Source organism: Homo sapiens, chromosome 16, assembly GCF_000001405.40.
Source record: "Homo sapiens chromosome 16, GRCh38.p14 Primary Assembly".
NCBI classification, from domain to species: domain Eukaryota; kingdom Metazoa; phylum Chordata; class Mammalia; order Primates; family Hominidae; genus Homo; species Homo sapiens.
In genome coordinates, this window is record NC_000016.10 from 51,638,954 (window position 1) to 51,654,336 (window position 15,383).

Below are 15,383 nucleotides of genomic sequence, written 5' to 3' on the forward strand. Positions count from 1 at the left end.
AACTCTGAGTCACCAGTCTGCCAAATCATTCTCAGACCTTTTTCTGCTCTTCATCAAACCTAGAAATTTTCTACCCTATTACTCTTCCAGTGCTACCCATGTGGGGTGAAAGGTAGATAATAGCCACCTACAAGCCAATGGACATGCCTATAGGCATTGCCTGGAACTCTTCTTTTAAGGGAAATATTATTTGGAAGCCAAATAGATAAAAATAGGTCAAAATAAAAATGCTCTGATGAAATCAGGATTATGATATTGGTAGCTCAGTGTACATACTTACACCACTCTGTCTCTGCAGGTTTCTGAGGAAACTTTGGATCTTGTAGAGGACATTTGGAAAACAATCATTCCATGTCATAATTTTTGCCTGTGGAGAATTGCATTGTATGGATGTAGAAAATCCATTTGACTAATCTCTTTTTGTCGGGCACCTAGGTTGTTTTTGATTTTTCATAAAAGGAGCTGCAAGAAACTGGATACTCCATTTATGAAAAACTCCCTTTCACGGGGGCAGGATCCTAGACAGATTTCCTGTCTGAAAGGCGTCACTTTCTTTCTCTCAGGGAGGATATTGAGATTGGCCAGAAGGACCTTAGTGTGGATCCCTGTGTTTCTCAGAGCCATGAAATTAAGTAAAATATATTACCATTCTCTGGCATTTAGGTGTTTGGAGACAGTAGCTCAAGTCAAAGAGGGACTTTATTGTATCTACAGTGGTGGATTCCAAGGATGAAAGCTTCAGGTATTGCTGGATCAAGGGGTTAAATGATATCAACAGGTTTGCTCATGTGCCTCCTGCTCACATACTGGAGGGAGCAGCCAGGATTCTTTCATACATCCAGGGAGGGGAGTTACCAACAGCCAGGTTTGGTAACTCTTACAAAAAGATAATTTTGTTTAGTTTTTAACCTAATACCTTTCCATCAATCTAATCTCATAGTCCCCACCTGCTGGATACTTTTTATTTTCCCCTGAAGATTCAGTCTCCACCTTTCCCATCCTTTTATGAATGGCTTCAGCAGGATCCTTTCACCTCTGGCTTTTGATTGGACTTGGCCAATGGAAAGCTATCTTCTTTTGCTCGTGCTACCTTGACAAAGTACCACAAACCAAGTGGCTTAAAACAACAGAAACTTACTGTCTTATAGTTCTGGAGGCCAGATGTCCAAGATCAAGGTATCAGCAAGATCATGCTCCCTTTGAAACCTGCAGAGAAGTCCCTCCTCTCCTCTTCCAGCTTTTGGTGTTTCTAGCAATCCTTGGCTTGTAGATGCCTCACTTCAGTCTCTGCCTCTGTGGTCACATGGCTGTCCTCTCCCTATGCTTCTGTCTCTGCATCTCTCCTCTTTTCATAAGCACATTCATATTGGATGAAGGGCCTGCTTTACTCCAGCATGACTTTTCTTAACTAATTACATCTGCAGCAACCCTATTTCCACATGAGGGCGCATTCTGAGGTCCTGGGGCTTAGAACTTCAGTTTAAGGGCCACATTCCAACGCCTAACAAAGACATTCACAGCAGATAGAGGGGGAAATGAGGGAGAGATGGGGTATCTATTTCCCCTTGGCTGGAGAAGTGTACATTCCCCTCTTCCTCCACTGAGGGCCACACTTGCCGTCAAAGGGCTCCCTCGCACAGCTTCTAGGATTCTGTTGACTTCTTGTCTTTGCCCTCTCAGAGTTAGGGGTGATGGCACCTCCCTGATTTGCTAGCCTTATTACTTCAATTTGTTGATTTCCCATCATTCAACTTTCTTCAGTTGTCCTGCTTGAATATACCCTCTCCCACATGGCAGAAGGGAGCGCCAAATGCAGGTGATAGGGGACTGTGAGAGCTTCCTAGAGCAGCCTGTCTGGAACTCTAATGTATATAAAAATCTCTTGAGGATATTGTTAACTTGTGGAATCTGAGGAAACAGTTCCAGGAAAAGAGCAGGGCCTGAGGTTCTGCATTTCTAACAAGCTATATTAGTCCGTTTTCATGGTGTTGATAAAGACATACCCGAGACTGGGAAGAAAAAGAGGTTTAATTGGACTTACAGTTCCGCATGGCTGGGGAGGCCTCAGAATCATGGCGGGAGGCAAAAAGCTCTTCTTACATGGAGGCTGCAAGAGAAAATGAGGAGAATGCAAAAGCGGAAACACCTGATAAAACCATCAGATCTTGTGAGACTTATTTGCTACCACAAGAACAGTACGGGGGAAACCACCCCCATGATTCAAATTATCTCCCACCGGGTCCCTCTCACAACACGTGGGAATTATGGGAGTAGGATTCAAGATGAGATTTGGGTGCAGACAGAGCCAAACCAGTATCACAAACTTATAGACGGCAATGCTGATGCTGCAGGATAGATCAGAAAGTGTCATCTAGCCACAGCAGGAATGAGCAACAGGAAAAGGGAGAAGTCACAGTGTCCACCATGGGCTGGAGATGAGGAGATAAGCAGGAGTGTGGTTAAGTCAGAAAATGAAGCCTTTTATCATGTCTACAGCCAGAAGCCTCACTGGATTGTGACTTCAGACTAGCACAGGGTTTTGCCGAATGGGGCCTGTACCATTTCTGGGAAGGGAAGTAAGAACTTAAAAAAATCACACTTCTTTGCTTCTCTAATATATTTTCACTAAAGTCTTATCTGTCTATTATTACATTTTAACAAGGCAAGACACATTACCTTAGAAAAGAATGCTCAGCCCTTTCCAGCTACCCTGGCCCACAGACCTCAGAGACAATGGCAGAAGGCCAGTTACCAATGCTGTTTGCAGGCTCAATGGATGCTTTGGAAACTTTGGGAGCTGGGAAGGTTCATCTCCGGGGCTCCAGCTGCTTCTTCTCTGTGATGTGACAGTTGTCATCTACCACCACTGTCAGTGCAAGTCCCTGGGCACCCTCTCTTGGAAGGGGCCAGTTTAGCTGAATCTCATGTCCCTGTGTCTAGAACTGAGTGACTCAAGGTGTAGGCCACAAAATGATGCTCATTCACTGCTTGCTACCTATCCATGATGAGGCAAGGCTAGAAATACAGAGGAAGTACTTAGAAATGTAATCCAGCAACCTGACCTTACTGAGACATCCACGTGCTGTGATACAAAATACTACTACTACCAATAATAATAATATTGGTCTTCAGTAGACTAAAAACAAAAGACACTGAGGATTTGAGAAGCACCTTCTAGAAGTCCTTATCCCAAGGAAGGGAATTTCAGTCAGTCTCTGGTCAGGGGAACTTGTAAGAGGCGAGGGCCTCCCTTTCCTCAGCCTCTGAAGTTGGGCTGTGTGGGTGGCAGTCACTCTCTGTGGCATTCCTGTGAGGACATGCTGAGTCAGGGAAGTGGGGTCGCTGTGAATATTATCTGCACTTCAGCCCTCGAATTCCATGGCAGGAGGTCTGTGATTTAGACACAAGCATTGGCAGTGAAAACACTGACCAGAGATAGTTAACAGCAAGTGTTGACCCTGAAAATGCAGACTTTTCTTTGGTGGAGCTTTCCATTACAAGTCCACCAAACACAAGTCTAGTTCACCATCTTCATACACATGGAATTCCAATGTGTGTTCACTCCCACTCCATTACATAACCCCTTTCTAATCTCCCAGTTTTATTTCTTTCCTTCCTTTGCCCTTTTCCCTCTTTCCACCCCTTCAACCTTTTATTTTCTGCAAAGCAATCTAGTGAAAGACCGCCCCATGGAAGGTTTCATATACAAGAAATTACTATTTTTATGTACGCTCCCTTAGGGTACACTCAAGCACAATCCATACTTTTGTGGGTATTTTTTTTTTCCTATAATATGTTTGTAGCTGGAATGTGGAACCAGCTCTGAGAAAATTAAACAGAACAAGAGAAGGCATGTGCCCCACAATTAAAGGAAACACTCCAAGTAGCAATGGGAACCCAACAGGACAGTGTGCTGTGCCAAGCAAAAAATGTGCAGCTGGAAAATCTGCCAAGTGTCCCCGATTTGTAAAGATTTTTTTCCATATTTAGGTAAATTAATGTAATTATTTAATGCCTCCTGCAATGGTAATAGGATTGTGCTTGGGCCCTTTCAACATATGGTGCTGGCACCAGAATCCCCTTTGAGGGAGGAAAAAGGTGGGGGCAGAGCAAGGCCCAGATCACATTTGCTGGGTTTCATGTTGGAGGTCTGCCTGGCCCTCAGCCAGCCTGAGGCGTGAGAGGACTGGGGCAATTGATTAAGGTCCTTTATAGGTTGGTGGGTACAGCAGGCACAAATGCCACCTACTGCCATAATTTATGCTCCTTCCTCAGTAACCCTGCACGCTCCTTTGGAAAGCCTGGCCTTTGAATTTGGAACCCACCTGTGTGTAGCCTCTTCCTTAGGACTTCCAAAAGTTACTGAACAAGGAGGAGGCTGATTTTCTTTGCTTTCTCTTAGGCCACCCCGTTTGCAAGGATGCCACCATTTTTAGTGACCTGTGTGCAGGGATGCCTAGGAGAATTGTACAGATTGTCCCATACTCAAAAAGTTTTGTATTGAAAACCATACATAGCAGATGGCAAACCCACTTAAATCCAAAATTTGGATTAACTCTTTAGAATATAGCCTCTAATAATAGAGGCCCGTGAGGACACAGGCCACATGCATTGTCCAAAAGACAACAGCAAAAACAGCAACATTTAATTTTTTTTTCAACTGAGTATTTAGTTTATGTACTCAAAAGGTATAAGATACATTGCCTGTTTTGCACAATGCTTATAATCTCAGAAAGTTGATGAGATAACACACAATACAATTCTCCTAGGCATCCCTGCACATAGGTCAGGGAACTAAAAATGGTGACTTCCTTGCAAGTGGGGTGGCCTAAGAGAAAGCAGAGAAACTCAGCCTCTCCTCTCCCTCCCAGGAACTTTTCAAAGTCCTAAGAAAGAGGCTCACACAGGTGGGCTGCAAATTCAAAGACCATGCTTCCCAAAGGAGCCTGTAGCGTTATTGGGGAAGGAGCATTTTTTTCTCATAAAACAATGATAAACACAGGGAGATAATGAATGGGGTAGTGTGGACCCCTGTCTCCAGGTTGTAGAAAGTTTAGGAGAAAGAAGTGATTCCATGACAAAGTTGAAACTGCCTTAGAAGACTGGGTAGGACTTGCTCCAACAGATAGAAGGGAAGAATGCTTTTCAGATAGTTTATGCAAAGTTGGGGAAGCAGGAATAAAAATGGTGTGGTTAGGGGTTTATGAGGAGGGGAATAAAGAGTACCTTCAGGGTAGGGGGGAAAAACGAGATTGGATAAGTAATCTTGGAGAGCCGTAAAAGCAAATTCTCTAAGGATTTTTTTTTTTTTTTTTTTAAATAAAAAGGTATTATATGCTCCAAAATCTCTAAACTCTTATTTTTCTGTGACAGTTAACTTTCAAGTCACAATGCCATCTGGTTTCTTCCAGGAGAATTTCTACTCCTCTGGGGATCAGTCAAGGAATTGGCGCTTCTGTGCATCTCACAGTGGTTGAAGGAATGGCCCCTAGTGGACATCCTCAGCTCCCTACCTTCTTGTGTTGATGAGAATAGCCTAGGCTGGAAGTCAGCATCTGGATCAGAGTGTCCTAAAGTGAGGAGAAGTGACCAAGTGGCCAGTTCCACATGAGATTGTCCCATGTTTATCTCAGATGCCACAACAGCTTGTAGCCAGAAAAGCTGGATTGTGGTGTGTATGGATATAGGCTCTGAACTGACAGCTGCATTTTTCAAATTGTAAATCTGAAACCTAGGCTAAGACACTGAGAGAACACTTCCAGACTCTTGGGGGCCCACCAAAGACCATCCAATTCTTGAATTTAGATCACTTCTTCATTATTTCCAGCCACATTCAAAACTGTGCATATTTCTAGAAGTGGGCTTCAATGCTTTCTTCCCATGTGACGTCCTTCCTACAACTTTGTTCGTAATAGTCTGATAAATTAATGTAATTATTTAATGCTTCCTGAAATAGTAACAGGATTGTGCTTAGATAGACCCTTTCAGCATATGATGTTCTTTGGGATAAGAAAAAGTAGGGGCATATCAAGGCTCAGATCAAATTTGCTTGTTTTCCTTCCACCAGGAAAAGGAAGAAAGGGAAGGGAAAGGACTGTACTTCATAAAATGCCAAACGTGAGAGTGTGTGATGAAATATCCATCTGCACTGTGGAAGCATGACATTTTGATGCATTAAGTGAGACCCAGGGGCCAGTAGATGCCTGACCAATAAGTGCGCATTGAATATTAGCTGAATGAATAAATGAAAAAGTCTGGGGTTCTGAACCTGAGTTTATCTTTAATATTCTGTGATGTTATTAAGTCACATCCCCTCTGGGATTCTCTCTTCATCTGTTAAATGGGTGTATTTCCTTTTGTTTTCTTTACTTAAATAGATAAAATAATCAAATGAGATTATGGATGCAAGAGTCCAGCTACTGCAGTTCGTGCTTTACAAAGGAAAGGGATAACCATCAGCACCGCTGTATACATATATTCTTGGAGGACTCCAGTTAAACAGTTTAACTACCTATGACATTCAAGACACCACTCAAACAACAGAGGGGTATTCCCCCTCATGTCTTCTGACACTGGATCTCAAGCAGATCTGAACAATTTGGATTGCTTTTTCTGTATAGGCAAGGTAAAGTAAAGTGTGAGAGGTCATCAATGACTACAGACCTACCATTCTAGGAAGTCTCCCTCAAATCCATTAAGAGTCTCAATATCTGAGTTTAATTATTATGATAATTATCAGTTCCCATGTTTTTAGCAGTTTTCTGACCCAAGGAAGTTGCAAATATATCAGAATAAGATCTTTTCCTTTCTGCCCTTGGACGCCGCCGAAGAAGCATCGTTAAAGTCTCTCTTCACCCTGCCGTCATGTCTAAGTCAGAGTCTCCTAAAGAGCCCGAACAGCTGAGGAAGCTCTTCATTGGAGGGTTGAGCTTTGAAACAACTGATGAGAGCCTGAGGAGCCATTTTGAGCAATGGGGAACGCTCACGGACTGTGTGGTAATGAGAGATCCAAACACGAAGCGCTCCAGGGGCTTTGGGTTTGTCACATATGCCACTGTGGAGGAGGTGGATGCAGCTATGAATGCAAGGCCACACAAGGTGGATGGAAGAGTTGTGGAACCAAAGAGAGCTGTCTCCAGAGAAGATTCTCAAAGACCAGATGCCCACTTAACTGTGAAAAAGATATTTGTTGGTGGCATTAAAGAAGACACTGAAGAACATCACCTAAGAGATTATTTTGAACAGTATGGAAAAATTGAAGTGATTGAAATCATGACTGACAGAGGCAGTGGCAAGAAAAGGGGCTTTGCCTTTGTAACCTTTGACGACCATGACTCCGTGGATAAGATTGTCATTCAGAAATACCATACTGTGAATGGCCACAACTGTGAAGTTAGAAAAGCCCTGTCAAAGCAAGAGATGGCTAGTGCTTCATCCAGCCAAAGAGGTCGAAGTGGTTCTGGAAACTTTGGTGGTGGTCGTGGAGGTGGTTTCGGTGGGAATGACAACTTCGGTCGTGGAGGAAACTTCAGTGGTCGTGGTGGCTTTGGTGGCAGCCGTGGTGGTGGTGGATATGGTGGCAGTGGGGATGGCTATAATGGATTTGGTAATGATGGAAGCAATTTTGGAGGTGGTGGAAGCTACAATGATTTTGGCAATTACAACAATCAGTCTTCAAATTTTGGACCCATGAAGGGAGGAAATTTTGAAGGCAGAAGCTCTGGCCCCCATGGCGGTGGAGGCCAATACTTTGCAAAACCACGAAACCAAGGTGGCTATGGCGGTTCCAGCAGCAGCAGTAGCTATGGCAGTGGCAGAAGATTTTAATTAGGAAACAAAGCTTAGCAGGAGAGGAGAGCCAGAGAAGTGACAGGGAAGCTACAGGTTACAACAGATTTGTGAACTCAGCCAAGCACAGTGGTGGCAGGGCCTAGCTGCTACAAAGAAGACATGTTTTAGACAAATACTCATGTGTATAGGCAAAAAACTCGAGGACTGTATTTGTGACTAATTGTATAACAGGTTATTTTAGTTTCTGTTCTGTGGAAAGTGTAAAGCATTCCAACAAAGGGTTTTAATGTAGATTTTTTTTTTTTGCACCCCATGCTGTTGATTGCTAAATGTAATAGTCTGATCGTGACGCTGGATAAATGTCTTTTTTTTTTAAAAAAAAAAAAAAGATCTTTGCAGAACACCTATTAATTAATTAATTAATTCACTCATTCAGCAACATTTTTGAGCTGCTGCCCTGTTTTCATGATGTGCTACATGATAGATTTGTAAACACCTGTCTCAATAAACTTATAGTTGTGTTGGAATAGGTATTATTCTCAGTTGCATCTTCATGAAACTCATAATAAATTGGTAATAATTACAATGTAAGAAGGATTCTGAGGCCACAGAAAGAATGATAAAAATGTTATAATCTCCTAATAACATTTCCAGTGGGCATAGTAGGTGAAAGCAGCAATATATTTGCTACACATTAATGCATGTAAAAAGAAGGTAATGTTCCTCAATCTTAGGACTTAATGTTACTTTATTGGTTTAATACTAGCTGCTCTTAAAAAATCCCCAAAATATAATGGCATAAACATAATAGAAGTTTACTTTGCACTCACTTTAAGTCTGAAACAGATCTACCTAACTGGCCATTAGCTCGTCTCCAGGTGGTGATTCGGGGATTCAGGCTCCTTTTATTTTGTGGCACTGTGACCTTTAACAAGCAATTTCCAGGTGACTGTGCTCTTCCACAGGAAGCTAGCAGAAGGAAAAAAGGAGGGGGATTGCAGGCACTTCTGCTTCTCAAGTTCTTTGGTCTGAAAAAGTCACCTGGGACTTCTGCTCATATCCCATTGGTGACATTCCACAGCCCCACCTACGTGCCAGGGAGACAGGGAAACATAGCCCTGTCTGGGAAGCAGCTTCCTAGCAACAACCTGACACTACCTTTGGTGAACAGGGAGGCATCTCTTCACAGTGTCCTGATTTCTCCCAGTCAAGCTTGCTGGAGCTCATTTTTGTCTTTTCTTCAATGAACTTGAACCTGACATCCTTTATCCAGTCTGAATCCGTATATATAGAAACTGTCCTCATCCAGCTTTTAAGTAAAGACAGTCATTTCTAATTCCTTTCTGACTTGCTATGGAGCAAAAACTCAGAGACAGATCCCATCTATTCATGTTCAGGGCTCTGCCAGGTGTTGTCAGGAGGGGCTGTTAAAGGAAAAACACCCAACAGAATATACAACCATAAAAGCTCTTACTTGGCCCCAGGGAGAATGCAAGGACCTGAGCTTCTCTTCCTCAAGCCCCTCACAGCGACTGGGCCTTTACAACTCAATGTTCGAAGCTCTGGTACTGTTTAAATAAACACACCATTCTAACAGTGCCTGGCAGCCCAATATACAATTAATTTTACTGTATCTTGCAAGCCATATAGAGCCTTTATTGTAGAGGGCAGCATTAGATCTTTGTATAAATACTAACAGATAATTTTATCTAATTTCATTGACTGGTTAAGTGGTTTTTTTTTTTCTTTTTAATTTAACCCCTGTGATTGCTAATTATGAGTCTCCTCCCAATTTCTCCATCACTCTGTCCCATGAAGCATAAAAGAGGGGACTCTGAGTGACTGAGTCATTCCTACTGATTTCTCCAGAGTTTCTCTCACTGGCAGTTGACTCTAGTGTTTTTCTGGAGCAGGAACAAGGATGAAACCAGTGTCTGGACTCCTCTGCGGGGTTGGGCTGGCCCACTCAAAGCCAGGAATGTGCGTCTTCCTCCACTGTCTTCCCACATCACTCCCCACTCCAGGGGAGCAGGCAGAATGACTCAGTGGAAAGAAGAAACCAGGATTGGGTTTGTATCCAAGCTCCTCCTTTACTTGCTGTGTGAACTTGACCAAGTGACAACTTCTCTGAATCTCATTTCCTCACTTATGAAATGGGGATACTATTTCCCTCTTTTGGGGTTGTCGTGAGGTTGACTTGGGCTAACCTAGCACAGTACCTGTGGAGCATCATGGGCTCAGGTATCCATTAAGGCACAGTGATGCTACTTCATGTAACAAGCAACCCCTTAGCTCAGCACCTCAACACCATCTAAGTTTATTCCTCACTTACTCAAAGTCTAGTGAGGGTGTTTCTAGTGGGGCAGTTCTTCAGAATTACTGCCTTCTAGGGGGTGACTTGAGGAGCCAGGCTTCTACCCTGTGACTCTCCCAGGCTGTCTTCCTTTTTTTTGAGATGGAATTTTTCCCGTCGCCCAGGCTAGAGTGCAGTGGTGTGATCTTGGCTCACTGCAACCTCCCGGGTTCAAGTGATTCTCCTGCCTCAGCCTCCTGAGTAGCTGAGATTACAGGCTTGCGCCACCATGCCTGGCTAATTTTGGATTTTTAGTAGAGACAGGGTTTCACCATGACTGTTCTTTGAACTCCTGACCTCAGGTTATCCTCCTGCCTCAGCCTCCCAAAGTGTTGAGATTACAGGTGTCAGCCACTGTGCCTGGCCCCAGGCTGTCTTCTATAGCCTTGGAGGACAAGAGAGAAAAAGACAGTGGAAGAGACTGCAGGAGGCATTCCAGCCAGCCCTGAGCATGTTGCATACATCATTTTTGCTTATGGTTCATTGGCCAGAATCAGTCACAGGCTCCCACTTAAATGCAATGGGTAGAGGTGGGGATATGGGAAATATAGTTTAGCCGAATAGAAAAAAGGAGAATGGCACATGAGTGAACACCAGCAACCTGTGCTACAGCAATCAATAAAGATGGTGCTCCTCCCTTTCCTCTCTGGAATTCATGCTCCCCCTGAGCCAGCACACAGGCTTTGAATATCCCTGCAGACGCCCTCGCCTGCCTCCAGCTTGCTGTCTCTTGGCCTTCATGTTAGTGTGCTGGACTCTGCCTCCTCTTTCAGACTGGCACACGATACTGCATCCTGGGGAGAGAGATGACTCTCTGAGTGGCCACTGCAGGGACAGATGAAGTGACCTGAAAGCAGTGAATTTTTACCAATGGGAAATGGGAAAAAGAGCTAGGCAGATAAATCTCCCTTCTTCTTGTCGCCCAGGAACTACCCCAGTGTGCAATCCCTCCTTACAGCCCGGGGACAGTCTGCCATGTCACTTTGTGGTGCATTACAAAGTGTAGTCAATGCGCTAAGGTGCGTACTGCATTGCCTCAAACCTTCCTTGTGTCTCATCCTCGCCATTCTGCGCTTGTACATCCTACGTGAAGTGAGGCATCTCAGTCATTGCCATAGACTCTATTTGCCAGAAGACCAGGGCTAAGGGTGCTGTCCTTCCATTATTAATTATCTATTCTATTATTGATCCTCCCCAGCCCTTAGTTTCTGAGTTCTGACAGCACCGGGCTACTTTCAGATCCTCAAATGAAGCATTTGCTCCTGTCATCTCTGGGTTTTTGCCCAAGCTCTTCCTTCTACTGAGGGCTCTTTTCACTGTAAAACAGCTGTTTCTCCAGCTCCCCTTCAGGACATCCATCTTGCATGACTTCCAAGTAGACCCAGGTCTCTCTTGTGATTTAGCTGCCTACACGGTACCCGCAACCCAGTAGGTAACTTAAAATATTTTTTCAATATATGAGTGATGTTCTTACTTCTTAGGAGACCCTCCTGTATGTGGGCTGTCTTTACACGTGTGTTTCAACGCAGAGCTATAATAATAATAGTAATAATGATAACAAAATATCATCCGTATCAAGCACCTGCTCTATGCCAGCCTGTGCTAGCTATTTCATAGTTATTATTTGGCTTCTGGATTCCTCTCAGTTGCCCTGCAAGGTGGATAAGTGACAGTGATTTGCTCAAGGTCGTGGTTAATGAGTGGCAGCGCTCGGATTTGAACCCAGCCTAGTCTGATTCCCAAGCATGTTCTACTACTTTTTTTACTCCAAAATGCGGCCCGCATTCAAGCTCCTGAATGATCCAACAGCAGCAGCGCAAACCATCCCACAGGCCGTGGAATCATATGGATGGTCAAGAAAGGTCATTGCCCCTCGGCCTTTGTGTTCCTAGGTGGAGTCCGTCTGCTGGGTGCGCTGCTTCCTTTCAGGGCTGTGCGGACTTTCCTTCGCTGCGTGGATCAGGATGCAAGATGGACTTCCCCCCACCCTCCGAATCAGTCTGTTCCTCCTGGGGCCATTCAGCTGACAGCTGCGGAAAGGACAGCGCCTGCTGAAAAAGGGTCCATAATTTCCCTCTGGCAAGAGACGGCAGCCCAACTTTGGAGGGGACAATTAGCGTGCTCTCAGCTGGAACAATGGGGAGCAGCAACAGATGCTTCTCGTCCCAGGGACGCTCCGAACCGCAGCCTCCTGCTAATGGGAGGCTTTCTTCTTCCCTGCCCGGGAAACCTGGCAGCCTTGCCAGCAGCTCGGGTAGGGTGGGGGTGGGTTTGGCTGCTGAGCTGGAAGGAGAGCAGCATTATCAGCGCAAACCAGAGGAGCGGGGCCTGCAGGAGTCAGTCACCGCCCTCCTGGGGCTGGTGCGCCCCTCCACCTTCCTCCCAGAAGGGGCCAGAGCCATTTCTACTCTGAAGCAGGGTTTTGGCAGACTCAGAAAATGCTGCCAAATGGTTAAGAGCAAGAAATCCACAGTGGACTCGTGCGAATTTGAGGCCCAGCATTGCCATTTACTAGCTGTTGCCCTGGGAAAAATTCTTAACTTCTCTAAGCCTCTGTTTCCCCCTTTATAAAATGAGGAAATGAGAGTATGTACGTTACATATTTATTTTGGGAGCTGAAAGAAAATAATATGTGAAAACACTTACCTTACAGTGAAAGTGCTGAAAAATACCTTTAGAGTTAAGCTCTACATAAAAAGGGCTGCCTGTGTCGTAGTCGCCTTTGTCTCTGGGCACTAGCACACAGTCTCTCCTCAATAAATACATAATCAGGTCAGGTGTGATGGCTGAGGCCTGTAACCCAAGCTCTTTGGGAGGCTGAGGTGGGAGGATTGCCTGAGGCCAGGAGTTTGAGACCAGCCTGGGCAACATAGCAAGACCCCTGCCTCAAAAAAAAGATTAGCCAGGCATAATGGCACACACCTGTAGTCCTAGGAGAGGCTGAAGAGGGAGGATCACTTGAGCCCAGGAGTTTGAGGTTGCAGTGAGCTATGATCAAGCCACTGCATTTATACATACATAATGATTTAGAGCCATTTAGAACTAGAGGAACTTTTATAAATCCTCTAGCTTAATGATGTTCAGATTGTTTACTTGGAAGTGCTTCAGGGGACCCAAAAATATTCTTTTGAATATTTATTAACCATATTGTGGAAATTAAAGAAAATCAGCTGCTCATAAGTTAATAAAATATACTTTAGCCTATTGGTAGCCCCAAACATGTTAAATTGTATTGCCAGGTTAACTTACATCTCTAAAGACTCGGAATAAGGCTTAAGTTGCCGTTTTGGTTAAACTGAAGATTATGAGATTGAAAAATAAGCATTTACTGTCTGAAAATGCTTGTCTGTGAAAATCTCCCGATTTTGCATGAAAACAAAATTCGAAAATAAATTATGTGATGATAGCAAATATAAAGTTGGCTCTTTCTTCCATTACCATAGATTTCAATGTTTGGTTTACTCTCAGGGGTATTACTGTTCTTATTAATATAAGTAAATGCTATATGTTTGAAAATACTATAATATACAAGAAAACTAAGTGCTAGTTTTTAAAAAACATATTGGGGTTCCTTGTATGACTCCATAGCTTAAAAATAAAGCCCAAGTACTACTGATTGTCTTCATCCCCTTAATTTTGAAGATAGGATTCCAGGCACAGAGAGGAAACAGTTCGCCCAAAAATCACCGGTGCAGAACTGTGGCTGGTAAAACTACTCCTCTACTTCCCTTTTTCTGGGAACCCTCCTTCATTTCCCATTCAGAATCAGTGTCACCAATTTATCTCTGACCTCCAGGATGAAAAGCAAAATGACCACAACAACATCCACAATGCACTGTGAAATCCATTGACTAGCTGGGTGCAGTGGCCTATGTCTGTGGTCCCAGCTACTCAGGAGGCTGAGGTGAGAGGATCACTGGAGCCCAGGAGTTTGAGGCTGCAAGGAGATATGAATGACCACACTACTGTCACTACAGCCCGGGTGACAGAGCAAGACCCTGTTTCCAAAACAAACAAACAAACAAACAAACATTTAGTCCTGAGCTAGTGCTTAGTTAGCATTCAGTGATTCTGGCCACGTTGTGGCCCCATGAAAATATTTTGACACAGTAACCGAGGGTAGAAAACCCTAGATGTGGGATCCAAAGCTAACTTGCTACTTAACCCCTCCAACCTCTAGAACCCAGATTTCAGGAGCCTCTAACTAAGCCTCTAAGGCTGGTTCAGGGAATGATAATGAATTACTTTCTGCTCTCCTTATTTTTTCTCCAGCCTTGCTTTTTTTCCTCCCTCCCTTCCTTCCTCCCTCCCTTCCTTCCTTCCTTCCTTCCCTCCCTCCCTCCCTTCTTCTTTCTTTCCTTCCTTCCTTCCTTTCTTCTTTCTTTCTTTCCTTTCCTTCCTCCTTTCCTCTCTTCCTTCCTTCCTTTCTTTTCCTTCCTTCCTCCCTTCCTCCCTCCCTTCCTTCCTTCCTTCTTTCCTTCCTTTCCTTCCTTCCTCCCTTCCTTCCTTCCCTCCTTCCCTTCCTCCCTCCCTTCCTTCCTTCCTTCTTTCCCTCTCTCCCTCCTTCCTTCCTTCTTTGCCTCCTTCCCTCCCTTCCTTCCTTTCCTTTCCTTCCTTCCTTCCTTCCTTCCTTCCTTCCTTCCTTCCTTCCTTCCTTCCTTCCTCCCTCCCTTCCTTCCTTCCTTACTCAAATATCAGTTGAGCATTTTCTAAGACCAAGCACTGTCCTAACTGATAGGATGTTCAACGAGATTCCTGTTTTAAAGGTGCTCACATTCTAATGGGGCAGATGTATAAGAAATGAACATACATAAACAAGTATCATAATAATAGTATAAAATGTATTTAAAATGATGAAGGTGCCCATGCCTGCCTCAGCTGGGCATATCTCTCTCTTGACTCCCCTCATACTGCAGAGAGGGTCCCCTGAAGGGGCTCAGTGGTGCCACTTTCCACTATGAAGGGCAGAAGAGCACTGGGTGAACACTATTCCTTAATGCCTTGTTTGAAAGGGCAGCCAGCCTCACTCCATCTAAGGCGCAGCTTCAGATGTGTTAACTCCCTGCATCAGCCTGAGTCCATGGCTTGTTGTTTTCAAAGGCTGCTCTCAGGACTCCACCATGGCGGGCTTTCTGGGAAGCACTGACTTTGTCTTGGATTACTTCTTGAGTGAGGTTGTGGGGTGCAAATTTGGGACGGCAGAGGGGCATGGTTACTCACTCTCACTGAAGGTAGAAGA

At 44.3% G+C, this 15,383-nt stretch overlaps 1 protein-coding gene across 1 annotated transcript, besides 1 other annotated feature; it reads left to right on the forward strand.

Annotated features, from left to right (window-relative positions):
- The first annotated feature begins 6,803 nt into the window (after positions 1 to 6,803).
- On the forward strand, positions 6,804 to 8,126 carry HNRNPA1L3 (heterogeneous nuclear ribonucleoprotein A1 like 3). Its single transcript, NM_001396241.1, has one exon. It carries the CDS (start codon positions 6,865 to 6,867, stop codon positions 7,825 to 7,827), a length of 963 nt encoding a protein of 320 aa, NP_001383170.1. The 5' UTR covers positions 6,804 to 6,864; the 3' UTR covers positions 7,828 to 8,126.
- Positions 12,367 to 12,971: an enhancer, noted in NCBI's record as "H3K4me1 hESC enhancer chr16:51685231-51685835 (GRCh37/hg19 assembly coordinates)". NCBI's record gives its function as "activates a minimal SCP1, AML or CMV promoter by ChIP-STARR-seq in naive H9 embryonic stem cells {active_cell/tissue: H9 hESC(naive)}" and the evidence as "EXISTENCE:reporter gene assay evidence [ECO:0000049][PMID:30033119]".

Coding starts and splice junctions, on each gene's coding strand:
- HNRNPA1L3 (NM_001396241.1), top strand. CDS start 6,865: ATGTCTAAGTCAGAGTCTCCTAAAGAGCCCGAACAGCTGAGGAAGCTC.